The following is a 22,402-nucleotide window of genomic DNA, read 5'->3' on the forward strand; positions in this document are numbered from 1 at the left end:
ATGGTCTGCAAGGGGGATCAGGGAACTCTCCCTTTCATCAGTACATGGAAGAGTCTGGATATGAACCCAAGAAGTATTGTCACCAGGATGGCCCCTACTGACAGTGGGAAAACTTTAACTGTTTTTTTAAGTCTGTTTATAGGCACAGCTGTTTAAAGAAACCAGATGGTCTGGATGCCACAAGTAGCCCCCTTGAGACCCGCTGCTGAATAACTGAGGAAGTTCAGACCCACATGAAACTGGTGCAGACCAGAGCAGGCGACCTCCAGTTACCTTTAAGTCATTAACGTATCATTATAATACTAGAAATCTTTCCCCTAAGAGAAAATTGCCCCCATTTTGTCTACATGCAGTGTGTGTAGAAACATGTTCATGTACTATGCCTGTGTTTGCAACTCCATCCAGTACATGCCCACATACTTCCCCAGGCTTGTGCCCAACTCTCTAAAACTCCCATGCCTCCAGGAAGATGGTGCCTTTGGAACATGAGCTCCCCTTCTCCATTCTTTGGCCACTGAATAAAAACCTGGTTGACTTCCCAATTGGATGTTCTTTCTTTGCAGCCAATGTGAAGTAGGCAAAGAACACAATTGACCAGTGACATTATGTCTCCAGGGGTCTTACTTTTAAGCACCATGCTAACTGCTTTCCCTATTCGCCCTGTGCAAGACCTCACATGGTTGAATATTTAATAATTAAATTCGAATGATGTTAGTGAATTCTTTTAGGTTATCGATACTCGTTTATAAGGTTGTGCCCTGATACCAGTGATCAGGACAATGGTGCACTTCTCTAAAAAGGGTTGTGGGGTCCAGGTTCCACACTTCTCAGCAACATTGACCTCTAAAACCAAGCAAGGCAGGGGAAATCTCTGCAGATTTATACAGCTAGAAAAATGAAATGGTTGAAAATAGGCAACTTTAATTAAAAGAATCTTCAACTAAACTTTTGTCTTTGGAGCTGTGGGTCTAAGAAATGGCACCAAAGTATGGTTTATACACTTGATAGAAAACCTCTCAGTCACCAAGAAGTGCCATCCTTGCCCCTTGAAAAAGGAACTTTGTCTATTCCTGTATCTTGGATCACATGTTAATGTCCTTTAAAAGTGGAAATGGTTAGATTCACATTTAACAAAGCACAAATCATTCCCTCCAATATTTGTAATTTTCAGGTGAAATTGCAAGGATGAATAAAAAAGGTGACCTACATAAAAAAAAGGAAATAAAAACCAGAGGGGTGGGTCAAAAAAGTAAAGGTCTTTTTTAAGCTTTTGCTGGGCTGTGTTCCTGAAGGTAGTGGCCTGTGCACATAAGCCTTTCAGTACCAGCTGAAGAGTCACTAGTCCTTGCTCTTCCATCAGTGCCTCCATATCCACCATATGCAATTCAGAGAATTAATGACATTTCAAATCTGTAAGAAAGCCTACTGGGGATGGGTGAATGGAGGAAGCACAAAGGGATATAGATGTTAGGGTCTAACAGTCTATAGAATTCAGTGAGGGTCAAATAACTCAAGGAGAATCCAGTATTTTAGCCTAGGTTTCAAAGATAAGTGCTGTTCACTAGGTGGTCAAAGAAGAGGAGAGCATTCCAGACAAGAACAGCTTGAGCTAAGGCGCTTAGGTGAGAAATTACAACTGGTTCAGTATGGTTCGTGTGATGGGCACTAAGCCAAGGAGTGTGACAGATGCTGAGAAGTGTTAGGCAGGGAGGTGCAATTTTGACTGGCCCTATGGGTCACACCAAAGAGTTTGAAGTCTATACCCTAGGCCAGTGGCTTACTCCCTTGGCTACATCCATAATCCCCTAGGGAGCTTAAAGAAATTTTAACCACCAAGCCTCACCTGAGCAACTGAGTCAGAATCTCTAGCAGTGGGGTTAGATGTCAGTCTTTTATAAAAAGCTTCCTATGTGTACCCTGGGTTGGGAATTACTGCTGTTGACTATGGTGAACACTTAAAAGGTTTTAAGTAGAGATGTGACTTGGTTAGTTTTTCATTTCAGAAAGATCACTCTGACTACAGTATGGAGAACAAATAGGAACCATGTGTGAGGGCTGCAGAAAAGACACTGGGGAGGCTGGTGCAGTTCAGGCTAAAGATGATCAGGGCCAGAACTATAGAAGTGGCCTTAAGACTGCAGAGGAGAAGTTAGGTAACTGTCATCCTCCATCTGGGATTTGGTGGCAAATTGAATGTGTGTGTGTGTGTGTGTGTGTGTGTGTGTGTGTGTGTGTGTGTGTGTGTTGTGGGGGTTGTGGGGAATAGAAGATGTGGTGGATTACAAAAATGACCACAGACTCTCTTGTACATACCTTACCATTCTCTCACTAAGCATGAGAGTCTGTTTTTCCACTTCTTGAATCTGAGCTGTGACTTTCTTTGGCTAGGATAATGTGGCAGAAGTGACATTTACCGAGTACTCTAAGCTTGGGTTCAAGGAATTTTGTAAGTTTGTTCTCTCTCACTCTTAGAACCCTGTGACTCCCAAGTAAATAAGCCTATCCTAGACAACGAGAGACCCATGGTCCAGTTGTCTGTCATCCCAGCCTAGAGCCTGCCAACCACTAGACATGCAAAGGAGGCAATGACAGGTGATGGCAGGTACATGAAAGAGCCCAGTGGAGATTACTTTCTATAAAAGACTGTGCTAGACCCAACCTTCAGCTGTCCTCAGGAATGGCCAATACTACATCCGGCAAGAGCAATTCCTTTTAATGTTTAACAATTAGTCTCAAAACAGATTGTTTAAATGTCAAAACTTAGAAATTCTTATAATAGAAAAGAAACACGATCAGCTTAAAATACTACTGCATAAGCCGAAGGTCATGTCAATTCAGTTGAGTAAATTAAATAAAGGATCACTGGGGTAGATCGTCATCATCATAACATGGTAGAGGGTTTTTTCCTTTTGAAAGAATGTTTCTAATGTATTTCTTTCTTAAACATACTGTATTGTTTCTCTTAATATGTATTTGTTATTGAGTTTATTAATTATCAATATACACATGGAGATAAATGCAAGCCATGCTTGAAAATTATATTACTGAAATTTAACCCATGACTGCAGTTGGACATCTGCCTGGATAATAAGCAGCTTTTTCTCTCTTTCAAAATTCATGCTACAGAAGGCAAAAGTCAGTGTTCTTTCATTACTTTACAAAGCCTTTAACAAAAAAGTAGAAATGTAACTTCCTACCCCAAACATACTGACAGGCCAAATTCTTGGTCTCTTCCTCACTTTTACCTTTTATGAAGTATCATTCATAATGCTCCTGTGTATCTTCAGCCAGCATACCAAGCCACTGGGTATTTAAAGTATTAGATTTTTATTGCTAAATTACCACAAGGTTAGCAGCTCAATTTTATTATTTTGTTGTTTCTGTAGGTCAGAAGTCTGGGCATGGTGTGGATTCTCTGCTCAGGGTGTCACTGGGCTGAAATTAAGGTGTCAGTTGGGCTGTAGTTTCATTTGGGCTTATCTTCTCACTGCTGGTAAAATTTATTTCCCTGTGGCTGTAGGACTGAGGCCCCCATTTTCCTTTTAGTAGGCTTTAGATAGTTCTCAGCAGCTAGAGGCCACCCACAATTTCTTGCCATGGGGCAGTTCACGGCATGGCTGTTTGTTTTTGCAGGCTAGCAGGAGTGAGTAGTCTGAGTGCCTCTTCTGCAACTAGCTGGAGGAAACATCGATTTTAAAGGGCTCACTTGATTAGATCAGACCCACCTTGGCAATCTCCCTATTTTGAGGTTAACTGATTGGGACCCTAATTACATCTGCAATCCTTTTACAATGGTGCCCAGATTAGCATTTCAGGAGAGAAGATGTGTGTGCACCAGGGCCAAGAGTCTTGGGGGCCATCCTAGAATTCTGCCTACCATGGCCACGATTAAGGGATCCTACAATCACACGATCAGATTCTAATTAAGTTGGGAACAAATATCTTCCACAGCATGAATTCTACCACCCATTTCCTCCTCATAAGTTTTCCAATTGATTAAACTGTCCAGTTGGATGTTTGAGTTTACAAACTCCCACAATCACAGGTGTTCTAGAGCTCTTGTAGGTCCTGGTGTATGACTTGGTAGTGCACCAAGGAGGATTAGAGAAGACAGCAGTCAACTACAGCACAGTACTGGGGTGTGAGGGAGGGAGGCCACACCAGGGACAGCAGCAGCACATTTCATGTACAAAGCAAGGGAAGAGAGATGAAGCCTTCCTCCTAGCAAGTATAGTTTTCCCCATGTGATTTTATGACTTTTGACATGTCATTTAATGACACCTGACAAACCAATATTTATGAGGTTGTGTTTCAGTTTGAAAAAAATGACAAACTTTTGGACAAATAGGACAGTTTCCTATCCTACAGCTCTCTGATGAGGAAATTGGAAACAGAAATACCATTAATTGTTCTTTCTACGAGAGTGTGTCAATTGTATAATGGAAACTTTGTGATCCTACATAAAACCATTTCTATTACTTCAGAGTACAAAGAATTTGCAAAGAGACGTAGGCAGAATGTGGTGTAGGGACTTTAATTTACTTACCTGCAGACTGTTCCCATTCCATCATAACTTTATTTAAATCATGGTTATGCTCTTAATTAACAATTTAATTGGTTGGTGCTTTCTCAATCCAGTTCTCTAGGGGCATGGTTTTCTGTTTAACTTTCTTGTTTTAATTCTTCCGCAAAACCATACAATTTAATTAGGAAAGTAACCAGCTTTGTAACAGCAGTTCTATGTCTAATTAACTATGCTTTGACAGTCTCTTCTCAGATTCCGTTCAACATGCACATGCATTTTGCATTTGTTCATGTTTCAGAGAAGACATTGTGAATTTATAGCCTATGCATGTAGTCCAATTACTTTCCACTTTCCCTAAGATGCTTGGTTACAACTAGTGAAATCAGGAAAATTAACAATGATTCATATATGAATCTGAGAGCCAAAGGCCAAGATGTAGGTTGTTAGTTCACTGTGTGTGTGGGTTTTCTCCTCCTGCAGAATAGATTACCACAAACTTAGCAGCTTAAAACAATACCTATTTATCATCTCACAGTTCTGCAGGTCAGAAGTCCCGACATGGCTGGCTAGATTCTCTCTTCAGGTATCAATGGGCTAAAATCAAGCTGTTAAAACAGCCCTTATGAGAATTACAAGTCAGGCTTTAGGCAGAATTATAGTTGGGCATTGACCGGGGTGTGCTGATGTACTTCTACCCAAGTTCCTGCAGCTGCTAACTAACTGAGATCCACATTGTGGGGAGCACGGACCACCTGCTCCCCACATTGTTCCTATAGATGGAATCTCTGGCACTGGACCTTTCTGCCCAAGAGTTGCTTAAAGTGTTTTTCAGATCTTGAATTCCAGCAGAATAGCTGACACCAACCAGTCTGAAGACCTCCACCAATAAACCAACTCAGCAAAGAAGTGTAGGAAATGCAGTTTTTTCAACTTCCTGTCCCATGACTTCACTCCTCACTTCTCAATCAATCTGTGATCCCAATTCCTGTTCAGCCCATCACCTGTTCAGACCCTAACCCAACCTCCTTGGGGAGGCAGATTTGAGGTTTCCTCCCATCTCCTTGTTTGGCTGCCCTACAATTATCAAACCATTTATCTGCTGCAACTCTTGTTGTTTCAGTATATTGGTCTGTTACTGCACAATGGGCAATCAAACCTAGTGGTCCTATAACAGTGTCCGCTGGGCTGCCTCCTCCAGGCTTATGTGGCAGAATCCACTTGCTTGTGTTTGGAGGACTGATGTCTCAATTTCCTTGCTGCCTATCAGCTGAAATCCATTCTCACTTCCTAGGGGCCATTGGAATTCCTTAGCTCGTGACTCTCATGGATAGTTCACAACTTAGCAGTTTGTGAACTGCTATCTTGAGACCAGCAGAAGCACTTCTCCGACCTCTTCTGTGAACAGCTAGAGGAAACTTTTTGCTTTTAAAGTGCTCATCTGATTTAGGTCAGGTCTGCCCTATGTCATTTCCCTTCTGCCATATAATGTAGCATCATCAAAGGAATGGCTGTCCCATCATATTCACAGGCCCCTCCTCATCCTCAGGGGAGTGATTATTCAGGGCATGTACACCAGAGGGGATAGAAATCTTGGGGCTATCTTAGAATTCTGTCTATCACAGTGTGATTTAGGGAAGGAAGGCAACTAAAGGTCTTCTGGCAAACCCTCCTTCTTCCCTTCTAGAGGCAATGCACAGGGAATGCAAAGAAGCTGTTAGCAATGCCCATAATTCTGTCCCATTAGCTCCACAGGCTGGAAGATGACACACGGTCATATTCTTTTTTCTCTGCAGGCTGCTTTCTCTGCCTGGCCAGAATTGCTGCTTTCCATAGTACAAATGGTTTGCTTGGTTGAAATCATTCAAATTTAAAATGACATCAAGGTAACGCAATGCTTTTAGATAGAAATTTATCGAAACTCAATATCTCCAACTTCAATCCAATAAAACTACCTCTTTAGTGAAAGGAAATGAAGAAATGTACAAAAAAATTTAACAGAGCAGGTCTGAAAAATACTATCTTTAGAAAGGCCTGCTTGTAAAATTGGCCTTGGCTGGCATTTGGAAAGTTGGATATCAGGAGGGCTACCACCACTCTAACTAATAAGAGTGATTCAATGTGCTTAGATTGTGCAAATAATGTAGTTCATGCTGAACACTTACTTTTCTTCTGGGAGTCTGGAATTTGGGTATGTGCTAGGCAGAGGGTATCTACATAACTTTACCCCAATAAAAACCCCAGGCATTGAGTCTTTAATGAATTTCCCTGGTAGACAACACTGCATGTTTGTTGTCACAAGTTGTTACTGATGGAATTGAGCACATCCTGTGTGACTCTATTGGGAGAGGCCTCTTGGAAGCTTGTGCCTCATTTCCCCTGGACTTCACCCAATACTCCTTTACCCTTTGCTGATTTTGCTTTGTATCCTTTTGCTGTGACCGATCATAGCTGTGAGTAGGACTATATGCTGAGTTTGGTGAGTCCTTATGCAACCCATTGAATGGGGGCATGGTCTTGGTGACCCCTGACTCTAGAGTTAAAGTAAATGATAATGATAATGATCACATTCTGAGTCTAGGCTCCACTGCCCTGCAAACTTGGCTTCAATCCTCTCCATTGTGAGGAAAATCAGAATAAACTGACTAGAGGCAAGAGGCAGGCCTCATTTGGGTCCTAGAGGGCTTGACACCGACTAGATCCATGTTCCAATCCCATACTGTGGCTTGGGCAAGTTACTTAACTCTGTCTCTCTTCTTCTGTAAAACAGCAATAACAATAGACTTACTTCATAAGATTGTTAAAATGAGGCAATTTGTAGAAGCATGTAGCATTGTGGCTGAGAGGAGCTGGATGTGACTGTGTGGAGTGTAGAGCACAGCTGATATCCTAATATTAAGCTTCTTTCTTCCCTTCACTCTGCTCCCTTCTTTCTCACCAGATCCCTTTCCCTCCATTCTCTGAGTTGTCCCCTAAGCTCCTTTACATCCAAACCCCATTTCCTCCCCCAGGTGGCCGCCTTTCTTTGAGGACTAAATGAAAACAATCTGCAGGAATGATTTTCTTTAAATGCTTACCAAAAAGGGCCCAATGTAAATGTGTGGTCATCAGTGCCAGCAGCCCTATTTACAGTCTAGAGCTTTGATTCCATCTATGATGATTTCTGAGAGTTTATAAGTAACCCCTACAGTCCTCACAGATGTAATTTTATTGCTTTTGATAATGGTAAGTGATTATCACAAATATAACAGTGCAAGTTCATTACTTTGTAAGGCCTAACACGTAAATAGATTCACAAATGGTAGAAACATCCTTTGAGAAATATTTTGCTCCAATATTTTGTTCAGAATATCTGTTCCCTAAAACACTGGACTTCAAAATGAAAAGTGGCTATTTTTCTGGTGGTATATGAAAACACAATTTCAGTGGAGACGGAAACTTCCACTCAAAACTTGCTTTGCTTCTTTGCAATTAATAAGTTCCTGGTGGACTATTCAGAAAGTGTTCAGCTACAATTGCTGAAAAGGATGTCGTTGGGTGAAGAGGTTAACGATAGCCTCCTAGAAGCAGATTCCTGCTAGAAGAAAAGGAGGTTTAGGAAATGCCCAGTGACCATGGTCTCTCTGGTATTGCATAAAACAACCACAATTTGGGGATGGGTTCTTGCATCCTCACCCTGGGCCCTTGTAATGAGACACCATGCTTGAACTCAATACTATTTGTATAGGGGCTGGGAATGAGGAGAAGACAGGGAATCAATAAACTCAATGTTCAAGACATCATTTGCAAATAAATTCAATATTTGAAGGGGAACATGCCAAAGAGAAAAATCAAACCATAAATAAAAGAAAAAAAGTTTGTTAATTACAAATATCTCCAGAAGCCACAATGTCTCCTTCCTCCCTCATTCCCTAACACTCCTTCAGGTAGGACTGTACTTCAGTCATGTAGGAAAAAACATTTTTCTATTTCATATTAAAGATTAATGAGGCCTGTTTGGTAATCTGCTTTGCTGTCCATTAAAATGAAGCCTAAACCACCACATAGTTTTTGGGCTTGCTTGTGTTTTGGTAGGCATGGAAAAGAACCAATCACACCACACTTCTCATCGTAACTTTTAGGTAAAAACTAACACTCAATTGTATGCACTGATGGAGTTACAGAAATGCTCTAACTCTAAAATCCATAAAGTTTATCAAAGATTGAATAATCAGAGCCTTCAACCTTTGCCAAGAAAATTCTCTTATCAGACCCACTGAAACATAGCAAAACTAATTAACTTGAATTTCTGGCTTTAATTTTTCCTCAACTCACTTCTGCTTAAAGTTTTAATTAAGAGGAAAGTGCCTAGATGATCAGTAGGAAGATTCAAGAAGGAAAAGAGAAGCTCTAGAAAACAGGAAACTGAATTCATTCATTCATTAAGGAAAAATAACAAAACCATGTATTGAACTTCTAGGACATTCCAGACACTAACTAGAAATACAGCAATGAACAAAAAATAGATAAACTCTCTCATGAAATTTACATTCTACCTTGGAGATGGGTAGTAAATAGATAATGTGTCAGATAGAAAATTTTCTTTTTTTTTTTCTTGAGACAGGGTTTCTCTCTTTTGCCCAGGCTAGAGAGCAGTGGCGACAGAGCAAGACCCTGTCTCAAAAAAAGAGATACTAGACCTCACTGCAACCTCCCAGGTTCAACTGACCCTCCCATCTCAGCCTCTCTAGTAGCTGGGACTACAGGCATGTGACACCACACCTGGTTAAATTTTTACATTTTTTTGCAGAGATGGGGTTTTACCATGTTGCCCAGGCTGGCCTTGAACTCCTGGGCTCAAGTGATCTGCCTGCCTCAGTCTCCCAAAGTGCTGAGACTACAGGCATGAGCCACTGCACACAGCCAGAAAATTTTTGAGTAGCCTTAAATATCCTTTAAAAGCTCTTTTGGCTGGGCACGGTGGCTCATGCCTGTAATGCCAGCACTTTGAGAGGCTGAGGTGGGTGGATCACGAGGTCAGGAGTTCAAGACCAGCCTGGCCAGCATAGTGAAACCCCGTCTCTACTAAGAGGCCGGAGAATTGCTTGAACCCGGGAGGTGGAGGCTGCAGTGAGCCGAGATCGCACCACTGCACCTCAGCTTGGACAACAGAGTGAGACTTTGTCTCAAATAAAATAAAATAAAATAAAACAAAATAAAATAAAATAAAATAAAAGCTCTTTCAAGTTATCTCCTTAGCCTTTACTTTCTTGGCTAATAAATTCCAATTATTCAACTCCAGTCAGCAAATCCCTGTAAACACTCCACAAGCACAATTCTACCATAAGTGTGTAGATGTTCTATTACCTTAAGTTGATAGGATATTTTCTTCAGTGCATATGCTTCCTCTTCTGTTTTGGGAATAAATCTTATCACTTTATCACTACAAGATAAGAAAAGAAAGATGATAATTACTTTTCGAAAATAAAGATATTAGTCATCTCTTTCTTACCTCTTAAAAAACTGCCTCTGCATTTAAGAAGAAAAACAGTGAAACTTTTCACTGGCCCAGTAAGTATTTTATCCAATTTATTCTCTGATTGCATTGTTCTTTTCTTCTTGTCTTAAAGCTATTTGGTGTTTCATCAGCTTTTGAAGATTACAAACTCACATTTAATGTTATAAATGCAGAAAAAGGCCAAAAACACAAAAAGAGTGGCAACGAGGGACAGGAACTTTCATGAGCTGCTCAGAGCAGATACCAAGAAGGAAAATTTCTGATGACAGAAGAAAGAAAAGTCATTCTTTTTTTAAACATAATGCTGAAAAGGAATGTGACTTTCAGTGAGAGGATGTGAAATCCACACACTAGGGAAAGCTTCTGGTTTGAATTCTTCCCACATGGAGAACAGTAAGGAGAAGCCCATCTCTATGGGGCATCTCATTTCTCTGGTACAGAGCTTCCCACCTGGCTTGTGGGGCCAAACAAGAGGGCCGTCGGCGTTAGACACTGATGGCTGTAAATTTTTTAGTGATACAAATTAAAAATCAATGTTTACAACTGTTACCAAAACACCAGGGGTTTGGTCTAGGTCCTGCTGCTTTCTGCACATAAAGCAATCACTGAGAAGATGATTATTACCAAGAAAGAAGGCTTTAATCAGGTGCTGCAGCCAGGGAGATGGGAGCTCAGTCTCAAATCCATCTCCCTGATGGACAAAAACTACAGGTGTGTATAGCAGGGAAGAAATGTAACAATGTGTACCAAGCAGAAACTAGGGAGGAGCAAGAAAGCAATCATAATGAATGAGGGGTCTTGCATCTCACTGTCAGGATGTGATCTGGTGAGTTTCTTTCAGTTCTTTGATACTTTTTGATAGGCCTGAAGGTCACTTTCTGAGGAAGGAACTCAGATAAAACAAATATAAGTTTCAATCTTTAAGACCAGAAGAATCCACCTGTGTTTATCAAAAAAAATCTCTATAGGACTACTGGGTCAGTTTCACAACCACAAAGGTTTTACCACAGTTGAAATTATATTTGAACACAATATAAGGTTCTTTCTGTAAAGGTCCTGAATTACCTAAGATGACTTAAGGTGTTGCTGTGTCTGTCAGAAAGTTTCTCTTTGGGGGCCTTGTCTCCCAGGTGTGCCAGAAAAGTAGGCTATCAATTTTTAGGTGTGTCATGATGAGGACAGGTTGGGAAGCACAGCTCTAGCACATAATAATCACAACTATTCAATGTCTTTTGCATAGAGTAGATGCTTATTAAATATTAATGGATTGGCATAAAGGAGATTGCTGAGAGTAATTGGCTTCCAGATGAAATATAAAGGAAAAACTAAGTAAATAAAGCACAGTAGGAATTAATATTTTTCATAACTCTCTATGGCATTTTACAATGATTAAAGATAAGGTAGAATATTATTAATAGAATATAAAGCAGAAAACAAAAACTCTACTATTTCACCTACAACTTGTCTCTCCAACCCCAAAGGTGCACCAGGAATAAGAATGGAATTTGCATGATTTTCTGTCATTTTACTTCTTAGATGATGATATGATTTGGATTGTGTCCCCACCCAAATCTCATGTCAAATTGGAGGAGGGGCTTGGTGGAAGGTGATTGGTTCATGGGGGCATATTTTCCCCTTGTTGTTCTCGTGATAGTGAGTGATTTCTCACAAGATCTGATGGTTTAAAAGTGTATGTCACCTCCTTCTTTGCTCCCTCTTTCTCCTGCCACCATGTGGAGGTCCCTGCTTCCCCTTCTGCTATGATTGTAAGTTTCCTGAGGCCTCCCAGGCATGCATTCTGTTAAGCCTGTGGAACTGTGAGTTGATTAAATCTATTTTCTTCATAAATTACCCAGTCTCAGGTATTTCTTTATAGTGGTGTGAGAGTGGGATAATACAGATGGATAGCAGTTTCCAAGATGAAGTAAGGCTAATATGGAGGGCATCAGATCCCTAGAGATACTTCTGGACTTGCTGGGCAATGATTTTTTAGGGCTTTTGTGTTTATTTCCAATCATGATAGTTTTATTATTTCAAATGATCCTGTAATAGCTCCTTTAGGCCTATGAATAAAAAGGCCCTTGGCTTGCTGATAATAAATTACTGTTTTATGGACTGCTACTCTAACAGAACTTTACAGCTTTGATTTCCTCAAAATCACACAAACCACCTCTCAGTATCAATGTCATGAAGTTCATATTTCTGGAAAGAATAAAAGAAAGTACCGGGAAAAAATTGTCAAGTCACTGTAAAACAAATCTAAATATAACCTTTGGAATTTAAATGTAACCACATCTCTTCTCTTTTCTGATATACATTTCTCTGACCTGTGTTTTTTCTGGATTCATCATACCCTGGCCTTTCTCATCTGACCCAATACAATTCTTGGCAGAGAAAGCAAGCTCGGCTGGGTGATATGGCTGTTTTTGATGGATGGATCACTTGACAGCTTGCTGAAAAACACCTCCATCTGGGGCCTTGTCAGCTCCTCAAGAGTGCAAGAAAAGCAATCTGTAGCTGTTTTACAGCCATGAGAATAACTTTTTTTTTTTTTTTTAAAGATGGATAATTCAACCTGGCAATCAGTTCCTCTTCTGCAAATAAGTACAGGATACAAAGAAACTACCCTTGGGATTATTTAACCCTGAAAGTGATTGCTCAAATCCAGTTTTCTCATTTTTGTTACAAAAAGTTCATTTCATCCCAGCCTTTAGAAATTCTCAGGTGTGACTTTAGAAATGAATTTATTGCTGTTTGATAACTTATCAAAGGACAGAGAATAAGGAAGGCAATGTAGAAAGACCCATGAAATGTCATACTCTTTTGTGAACCAGTAAATTATATTGATGGAATGACGGGTAACCAAAGCCCAACAAGAGCTCTTTATTCAGCATGTGAAAACCACATGACCCCCAAATGCCCTGTTTGTTTCACCAAACAAAAAGCTTACTCTCCCTAAATCTGATAGCTAGTGTTTTTTGAAGTGGTGAGTAATTTGGTGCTAGAAACAGGGAAGTTTCAGGTAGTCTACTGGAACTTAGAAAAACTAACCATGCAAAACTATCAGAGGAGGTGAGCTTAGAGGCTTTTCCTTATAACTTATCAGGTTTTTTGTTTGTTTGTTTGTTTGTTTTTAACTGTTAGGTGGTAACATCAACTTAAGACCCTTTGGCTACCCTTTGGGGTTAAGATGAGGGAATCAAAGAATTGAATATGGGTTGAGGTTAGAAAGACTACTGGGCAAACAGCTGCTCTTATGCACATATATTTCTAACTTAGCCTATATAAAGGTGTCCAAAGAAAGACAGCATAAGCATTTTTAATTTTAGTTTAAGGATGTCTTATAGAGGAAGCAGGACATCCCAGATTAGTCTCCCAGGAATTACTAACACTTATTAATCCATGATATGCTTACATTTTGTTCCTTTGCCCTACAAGACAAATGAGGTTATGTAGCTATAAAGCCCACGTTGAGTTTGGTTGTGAGTTTGACTAATAATCCTGCTGTACAGTAGCAACCACATGAATAAGACAATAGTAAATAAATGTAATCAGTTCAAAAACTATTACCGAATGCCTTCTGAGCATGTATGCACCTACAGAAAATTCAGAAAGGGAACACGATCTCCAACTCTATATTATGTCTGGGTCTCAGTTTCTTCACTGGAGGAGTGAGGGATGATCTCCCAGCTGCCTTCCAACATGGTGAAAACCCATCTCTACTAAAAATACAAAAATTAGCTGGGGGTGGTGGTGTGTGCCTGTAGTCCCAGCTACTTAGGAGGCTGAGGCAGGAGAATGGCTTGAACCTGGGAGGCGGAGATTGCAGTGAGCCGAGATTGAGCCACTGCACTCCAGCCTGGGTGACAGAGCGAGACTCCATCTTAAAAAAAAAAAAAGTTCTAAGACTGTGTTGCCTGGGTTTGACACCTCCCATATTGATTGCCATTCTTCTGTGCCTTGACTGTGCAGCAGCTAAGGAAGAGTATCTCTGTCCTCTAGGCAACCTGAAAGTCCTGTTGAAAGACAGAGATGTGAAGCTTCAGATGTTTCCTTGTGGCTCCTGGCATGACCTTTCGCAACTGATTCCATTATGAAATCCTAAACTTCTTTGTACGTTACAGAATTTACGAACCTACACTTGTAAAAATTAAAATATTACAGAGCATATGAAATGATAAAGTTCTCTTCCAACTCCAAGCCTTCCATCTTCCCTTTGTAGCCACTGTTAACAGTTTCTTGTGTATCACTCTGAACTCTTTTCTGCATTAATACACGTACACGCAGTGTTTGTTTTACAGCATTTTGTAACACTAATTTGCTTTTATCTTTTACTTCATATGTTGGTTTTAAAATATAATAAGTTCTTGATTAACATCAATGATAAGTTCTTGGAAATTGTGACTTTACATGAAACAGTGTCTAACAGAACCGATTTTACCATAAACTAACTGATAGAAGCAAGTTAAGTTCCTATGGGCATATTTCTGGTCATGAAAAAATCACCAGGCCGTGTGCAGTGGCTCATGCCTGTAATACCAGCACTTTGGGAGGCCGAGGCAGGTGGATCACAAGATCAAGAGATTGAGACAATCCTGGCCAACATGGCAAAACCCCATCTCTACTAAAAATACAAAAATTATCTGGGTGTGGTGGCACATGCCTGTGGTCCCAGCTACTCTGGAGGCTAAGGCAGGAGAATCGCTTGAACCTGGCAGGCAGAAGTTGCAGTGAGCTGAGATCATGCCACTGCACTCCAGCCTGATGACAGAGTGAGACTCCATCTCGAAACAAACTAACAAAAAAACCCCCAAAAAAACAAACAAAAAAAATCACCAAATTTCTAAATAAAGACCCATAGCTGGGTGTGGTGACTCATACCTGCAATTCCAGAACTTGGGAGGCTGAGGTAGGAGAATAGCTTGAGGCCAGAAGTTTGAGACCAACCTGGACAACATAGTGAGACCCTGTCTCCGCAAAAATAAATAAATAAATAAATAAATAAATAGCTGGGCATCATGGCACATACATATAGTCCCAGCTACCTGGGAGGCTGAGGCAGGAGGATCACTCAGGCTAAGGAGCTGGAGGCTGCAGTGAGCTATGATCAAGGCATTTTGTCCAGCCTGGGTGACATAATGAGACCCTGTCTCAAAAAAAAAAAAAAAAAATAAGACCCAAAGTACTTCTAATATTAAACATTGAAATAAAAGTGAACTATATATACATTTAAGAAAAATTAATAAAGACAAGTAAGATTATGTACTCAATTTTTGGTGAATCTGTGATGGATAGCGGTTGTTGCAGTGGTGGGTTAAATCAAGGAATAGATGTTTGCAAAGCTAAAATATGAACCTCTGTTCCCAACATGCAGTTCAAACAAACAATAACAAATATAGTGGGTTTGCTGAGGGCTTTTGTACTGCATCATTTATTGTCATGGCTTTGTATGATTTTGCCTATGAGTTTTTATTTTACAATACTTTTTATTCATTCCTGGCTGGGCGTGGTGGCTCACACCTGTAATCCCAGTACTTTGGGAGGCCGAGGCGGGTGGATCACGAGGTCAGGAGATCGAGACCATCTTGGCTAACACAGTGAAACTCTGTCTCTACTAAAAATACAAAAATTAGCTGGGCGTAGTGGCAGACATCTATAGCACCAGCTACTCGGGAGGCTGAGGCAGGAGAATGGCGTGAACCTGGGAGGCGGAACTTGTAGTGAGCCGAGATTGCACCACCGCACTCCAGTCCGGGCGACAGAGTGAGAATCTGTCTCAATTAAAATAATAATAATAATAATAATAATAATAATTTGTATTCATTCCTTAATTCATTTTCCAACCCACTTATTCTAGTTCAGGGTCAAGAGTGGCTGGAGCTTGTCCCTGCAGCTCAGGACACAAAGTGGAAACTGACTCTGGATAGGACGCCATCCATTACAGGGTACACTCACACACCCATGCTCACTCAGCCTGGGACCATGTAGACATGCTGATGAACCTAACAGGTGCAGCTTTGGGATGTGGGGGGAAACTGAGTACCTAAAGAAAACCCACACAGACATGGGGAGAACATGCCAACTCCTCACAGACAGTGGCCCTGGTGGGAATTGATTTTTTTTTTCTTGTCAAAGTTATAGCAAAATGATGTTGAATGAAAAACAATGTTATTCTAGGACCTGCTGTACCACCTTTTAAAGAAATGGCTGGATTTTATATGCTAATGAGAGGTGACAGTGTGCTGGCAGCCCTCGCTCCCTCTCAGTGCCTCCTCGGCCTCAATGCCCACTCTGGCCATGCTTGGGGAACCCTTGAGCCCGCTGCTGCTCTGTGGGAGCCACTCTTTGGGCTGGCCGAGGCCGGAGCTGGCTCCCTCTGCTTGAGGGGATGTGTGGAGGGAGAGGCACGGGCAGGAACCAGGGCTGCGCACGGTGCTAGTGGGCCAGTGTGAGTTCCGGGTGGCCGCAGGCTCCGCGGCCCCGCACTTTGATCAGCCAGCTGGCGCTGCCAGCCCAGGGCAGTGAGAGGCTTACCACCTGGGCCAGCAGCTGCGGAGGCTGCACTGGGTCCTCCAGCAGTGCCGGCCCACTGGTGCCATGCTTGAATTCTTGCCAGGCCTCAGCTGCCTCCCCGAGGGGCAGGGCTTGGGACCTGCAGCCCGCCATGACTGAGCCCCGCTCCCCTACTCCTGCGTGGCCCAAGCCTCCCCAACATGCGCGGCCCCCTACTCCACAGCACCTGGTCCCATCGACCACCCAAGGGCTGAGGAGTGCGGCTGCATGGTGCAGAACTGGCAGGCAGCTCCACCCGTGGCCCCGGTGTGGGATCTACTAGGCAAAGCCAGCTGGGCTCCTGAGTTGGGTGGGGACTTGGAGAACTTTTATGTCTAGCTGGAAGATGGCATATGCGCCAATCAGCACTCTGTGTCTACCTCTGGGTTTTTGGATGCACCAATCAGCACTCTGTATCTAGCTAATCTGGTGGGGACTTGGAGGACTTTTATGTCTAGCTAGAGGATTGTAAATGCACCATTCAGCACTCTGTGTCTAGCTAAAAGATTGTAAATGCACCAATCAGCACTGTGTCTAGCTCAAGGTTTGTAAACACACCAATCAGTGCTCTGTGTCTAGCTAATCTAGTGGGGACTTGGAGAACTTTCGTGTCTAGCTCAAGGTTCATAAATGCACCAATCAGCACCGTCAAAACGGACCAATCAGCTCTCTGTAAAATGGACCAATCAGCTCTCTGTAAAATGGACCAATCAGCAGGATGTGGGTGGGGCCAGATAAGGGAATAAAAGCAGGCTGTGAGCCAGCAGCGGCAACCCACTAGGGTTCTCTTCCACCCTGTGTAAACTTTGTTCTTTTATTGTTTGCAATAACACTTGCTGGTGCTCACTCTTTGGGTCTGCACTGCCTTTATGAGCTGTAACACTCACTGCGAAGATCTGCAGCTTCACTCCTGTGGCCAGCGAGATCATGAACCCACCGGGAGGAATGAACAACTCCAGACGTGCCACCTTAAGAGCTGTAACACTCACCGCAAAGGTCTGCAGCTTCACTCCTGAAGCCAGCGAGACCACGAACCCACCAGAAGGAAAAACCTCTGAACATGTCCGAACATCAGAAGGAACAACTCCAGACACACCACCTTTAAGAACTGTAACACTCACCGCGAGGGTCCGTGGCTTCATTCTTGAAGTCAGTGAGACCAAGAACCCACCAATTCTGGACACATTAATATTTTATTTCAGAGTTTTATAACTGTATTCATAAGGAAGCATTTTTTTTAAACTTTTTGTAAACCTTTAAAAAATGATGCTGTGTGTGTGTGTGTGTGTGTGTGTGTGTGTGTGTTTTCTCAGAGACAGTCTCGCTCTGTCATGCAGGCTGGAGTGCAGGGGCATGATCACAGCTCACTGTAACCTCGAACTTGTGAGCTCAAGTGATCCTCCTACCTCAGCCTTCCAAGTAGCTGGGACTGCAGGTGAGCACTACCCTGCCCAGCTAATTAAAAACTTTTTTTTAAAGAAATGGGGTCTTACTATGTTGCCCAGGCTACTCTCAAACTCCTGGACTCAATTGATCCTCCCACCTCAGCCTCCTGAGTAGCTGGGACTACAGGTGTGTGCCACCACGCCCAGCTAATTAAAAAAAAATTTTTTTTAGAGATTTTTTTCTCAGTATGTTGCCCAGGCTACTCTCGAATTCCTGGACTCAAGTAATCCTCCTACCTTGGCTTCCCAAAGTGCTGGGCTTACAGGTATGAGCCACTGCACCAAGCCTCATGTTTTAATATGTGATGTTCTCATTGATGTTCAGATCTAATAGTTGACAATTGAGTTTTTAGTCGTTCTTTACTAGAGAGCTATTTTGAAGAATGTTAAAAAATATATGAAGCAGTGAGATGTATTTTGGGTGGGAAGAATTATTTTTGTTACTGTTTTATTATCTTGAAGTAAGAGAAGGTGGCCCATATGATATCTACTCTGTAGACTTCGTTGCATTGGTATTTATGACCTAATATGTATTCAAGTTCTAGAAATAGTGCACAAATATTTGAAAAGAATATCTTTCGTATATAAAAAGGTCTATATATACCTATTAAGCATATTGATTATATGATTTTCATTTACTGTGTCCTTATTTTTCTGATGAATTTGACAATTTGAGCCAATTTTACTCAATATACCTACTATAATTTTGGATTTTTCAATTTACTTTTGAATATAAAAACTTTTGATTCATATATTTTGATGTGTGTAACTGTATATAAGCTCAAGACTACTACATCTTCTGGACAGAATAAAACTTTTACTCCTATAAAGCTTCCTTAGAAAAACTCTTCTTTGTTTTATTTTATGCTCTTTATCCTAAATTCCATTTTTTCCCCATAGGATTGCCACTCCTGCTTTCTTTTTGTTTGCCTGGCATTTTTAACTGGAAATTTCACTTATTCACATTAATTGTAATACATAATATATGTGAATTTATTCTTATAATTTTTATTTTTTGTTTGTTGTAGGTTCTTATTGCCCTTTTCTTCCTCTTTCTTGGATTAATCAATTTTCTGGGCCGGGCGCGTTGGCTCACGCCTGTAATCCCAGCACTTTGGGAGGCCAAGGCGGGTGGATCACGAGGTCAGGAGATCGAGACCATCATGGCTAACATGGTGAAACCTCGTCTCTATTAAAAATACAAAAAATTAGCCGGGCGTGGTGGCGGGCGCCTGTAGTCCCAGCTACTCGGGAGGCTGAGGCAGGAGAATGGCGTGAACCAGGGAGGCGGAGCTTGCAGTGAGCAGAGATCGCGCCACTGCACTCCAGCCTGGGCGACAGAGCGAGACTCCGTCTCAAAAAAAAAAAAAAAAAATCAATTTTCTTCGTCAGATTTTTCTTATCTAGTGGTTTGCAAGTTATGCACCTTCTGTGTATTAGTGATTTTTTTGTATTTTACAAACATACTTTGAGACACCGTTTTCTTCATGTCTAGAATGTCTCTGTAATTTGTCCCCTTGAACAAGATAAGACCTTAAGAATCTTTTTTTCTCTATCCTTCTCCCCCCAAATGTTTTCCTCCTTCTTTCTCCATGTTTCGTTAAAATCATCTGGAATTTTTATTGCATATTGTGTCTAAGTGCGGATATGTGAATTGTTTCCCCTTGAAGTTCGTATGTTGAAGTCCTAACTCCCTCAATCCAAGAATGTGACTGCATTTGAAGATAGGGTCTTCAAAGACGGAATTGAATTAAAATGACATCATTAGGGTGTTTTTCCTAATCCACTAGTGTTAAAAACACTTAAACTTCAGATATTTCATTTTTTTCATTCCTTTCTCCAAGTCACTGGATTTAATTATTATTATTATTATTATTATTATTATTATTATTATTATTTATTTGTTTTTTTTTTGAGACGGAGTCTCGCTCTGTCGCCCAGGCTGGAGTGCAGTGGCACTATCTCGGCTCACTACAAGCTCCGCCTCCCGCATTCTCGCATTCTCCTGCCTCAGCCTCCCGAGTAGCTGGGACTACAGGCGCCCGCTACCACGCCCGGCTAATTTTTTGTATTTTTAGTGGAGACGGGGTTTCACCGTGTTAGCCAGGATGGTCTCCATCTCCTGACCTTGTGATCAGCCCGCCTCATCCTCCCAAAGTGCTGGGATTACAGGCGTGAGCCACACTGGATTTATTTTGTAGGATCCACTTCCTTCTTCACTTTGCGGGGAGAAAGAGTAAGGTTAGATTACAATCTGGGCTCCACCACTTGATGTGTGCCCTTGGCCAAAATGCTTAAACACTTAGAACCAATGAGTTCTAACCCTTAAATTGAGGGGAAGGACCAATGAACCACTGCATATTTTTTTTGTGAAAATTATTTCATCCAGCACATTTATGAAGGTTACATTATGTTCCAGGCACAGTGGTAGATGCCAGGGAGACAGCAGTTCCTGCTGGTGATGAGTTTATAGTCACAATCCCTGTGAGATATCGTCTGGGAAATACCTAATTTATAGTCTCTCAATACTTAGTAGCTAGTGTCATTACTTTTACAGGAAAATATTCTTCTAGTTCTTTTTTTAGAAATGGTCTCACTCTGTTGCCCAGGCTGGAGTACAGTGGTACCATCATGACTCACTGCAGCCTCAACCTCTCAGGCTCAAGCATCCTCCTGTCTCAGCCTCCCAGGTAGCTAGAACAACAGGTGTGAACCACTATGCCCTGCTATTTTTTAAAAAAAATTTTGTAGACAGGGTCTTGTTATGTTGCCCAGGCTGTTCTCTAACTCCTGCACTCAACTGATCCTTCCACCTCGGCCTCTTAAAGTGTTGGGTTTACAGGCATGAGCCATTGCACCCAGCCTAGAACTTAAAGCACTGATAACATGCTTTTCCAAGTTTGCTCCACTGTGAACACCACAAAAAACATGACACAATTTGATTCCGAATACATTCAACCTTTTTGTTGTTGCTGCTGGCATTTTTTCTTGCCCTTTGCATGGATATTTGAACCTAATCTCTGATCAGTGCCTTAATTTGGGATTTACTGTTTTCTCTCTGCTCAGGCAGCTCTTTGGCATCTGAGAAATGCACATATTGGATGGTCTCATTTTCTACAATGGTAACTGGGGATATGGAACACTTTATATAAAAGAAAAAGGGGCTGGGCATGGTGGCTCATGCCTGTAATCCCAGCACTTTGGGAAGCCAAGGAGGGGGGATCACCTGAGGTCAGGAGTTTGAGACCAGCCTGACCAACATGGTGAAACCCCGTCTCTACTAAAAATACAAAATTAGCTGGGCATGGTGGTGCATGCCTGTAATCCCAGCTACTTGGGAGGCTGAGGCAGAAGAATCACTTGAACCTGGGAGGTGGAGGTTGCAGTGAGCCAAGATCATGCCACTGCACTCCAGCCTGGGCAACAAAGAGTGAAACTCAAAAGAAAAAGAAAAAAATAATGTCAGAGAAAGTCCTGTAGAGATGTTTTCTCTATTGGTATAAGCCACACATGTTCAATTTGTCAATACTTCCAAAGACCAAACTTACCTAGATGTAGTAAAGGATTTCTAATGTTGCCCTTCACAAGGGACCAGAGTAGATGACTGCAGTGATGTTTTTTGCTGCTCCTCCAAATCTATTTTCCTGTCTGAAACCCTAAAAGGACTTTGATTCTGCTCAGATATTCACCCTATCCCCATATCAGAACTGAGTCTCGATTAGCCACTCAGAACTTGGATATCCCTTAGCAACTTTTGTTGGTTTGGGGGTAGATGTGTGGTATAAATTAGCCCAATCAGATTTAAGGGAAGGATTATTTAAAGGGGGTGGAAGGATTCTCTCTCTTGTTGAATGTAAACAAGCAGATATGCAATTCTGCATGCCATGGGCAGCCTATAATTATGAGGCAGATTCACCCCAAGCTCACTGTGGACTCTTGAGTAGAGAGACAAAATGAATCTGTGTCTGCAATGATCTTGTTGAATCAACCAACTTTTAAGCTTGTTCTGCTGCTGGACTTCCTGTTGTATAATACATTTTAAAATTATGTAGGGCAGTTTGAGTCAGGTTTTTTCTTGCTTGTAACCAAAAGCACCCTGTAAAACAGTAAGTTTACTTTGGATATTTTTAGAGGAATAAGAGAAACCAATGGAATAATTAAATTCACTGTTAAATCAGTCTTCACAGGTGAGAATATACATATTGGCACTCCTTATTTACTCCCCAAGTCCCTCTCGCTAAAACCTCCCTTTAATTTTGATGGCAGCTTAAAAAACTGTGTGTTTTCAGAAGGAAAGATTTAGGGTACTCCATAACTAAGGCTCATCTCATATTCTCAAGGAAAACAGGACAGTTTAAAATATTTGCTGAAATTTATGAAAGCTTG

The 22,402-nt window shown here is 41.5% G+C and overlaps 1 protein-coding gene and 1 long non-coding RNA gene across 4 annotated transcripts in view; one reads left to right on the top strand and one right to left on the bottom strand.

Moving 5' to 3' along the window:
- The window catches only part of LOC105375886 (uncharacterized), a 58,475-nt gene extending 58,265 nt beyond the window's left edge, over positions 1–210 (top strand). Inside the window, exon 4 of the long non-coding RNA XR_007060953.1 lies at positions 132–210. This is a non-coding gene — a long non-coding RNA (uncharacterized LOC105375886). The remainder of the gene's footprint in view (positions 1–131) is intronic.
- The window catches only part of CPA6 (carboxypeptidase A6), a 324,323-nt gene that overhangs the window by 192,270 nt on the left and 109,651 nt on the right, over positions 1–22,402 (bottom strand). For all 3 annotated transcript variants that reach the window (NM_020361.5, XM_017013646.2, NM_001440615.1), the window contains one exon: positions 9,869–9,944. In NM_020361.5, coding sequence (NP_065094.3) covers positions 9,869–9,944 — 76 coding nt within the window. The remainder of the gene's footprint in view (positions 1–9,868; positions 9,945–22,402) is intronic.

The sequence above is a fragment of the Homo sapiens genome, chromosome 8, assembly GCF_000001405.40.
Source record: "Homo sapiens chromosome 8, GRCh38.p14 Primary Assembly".
NCBI classification, from domain to species: Eukaryota; Metazoa; Chordata; class Mammalia; order Primates; family Hominidae; genus Homo; species Homo sapiens.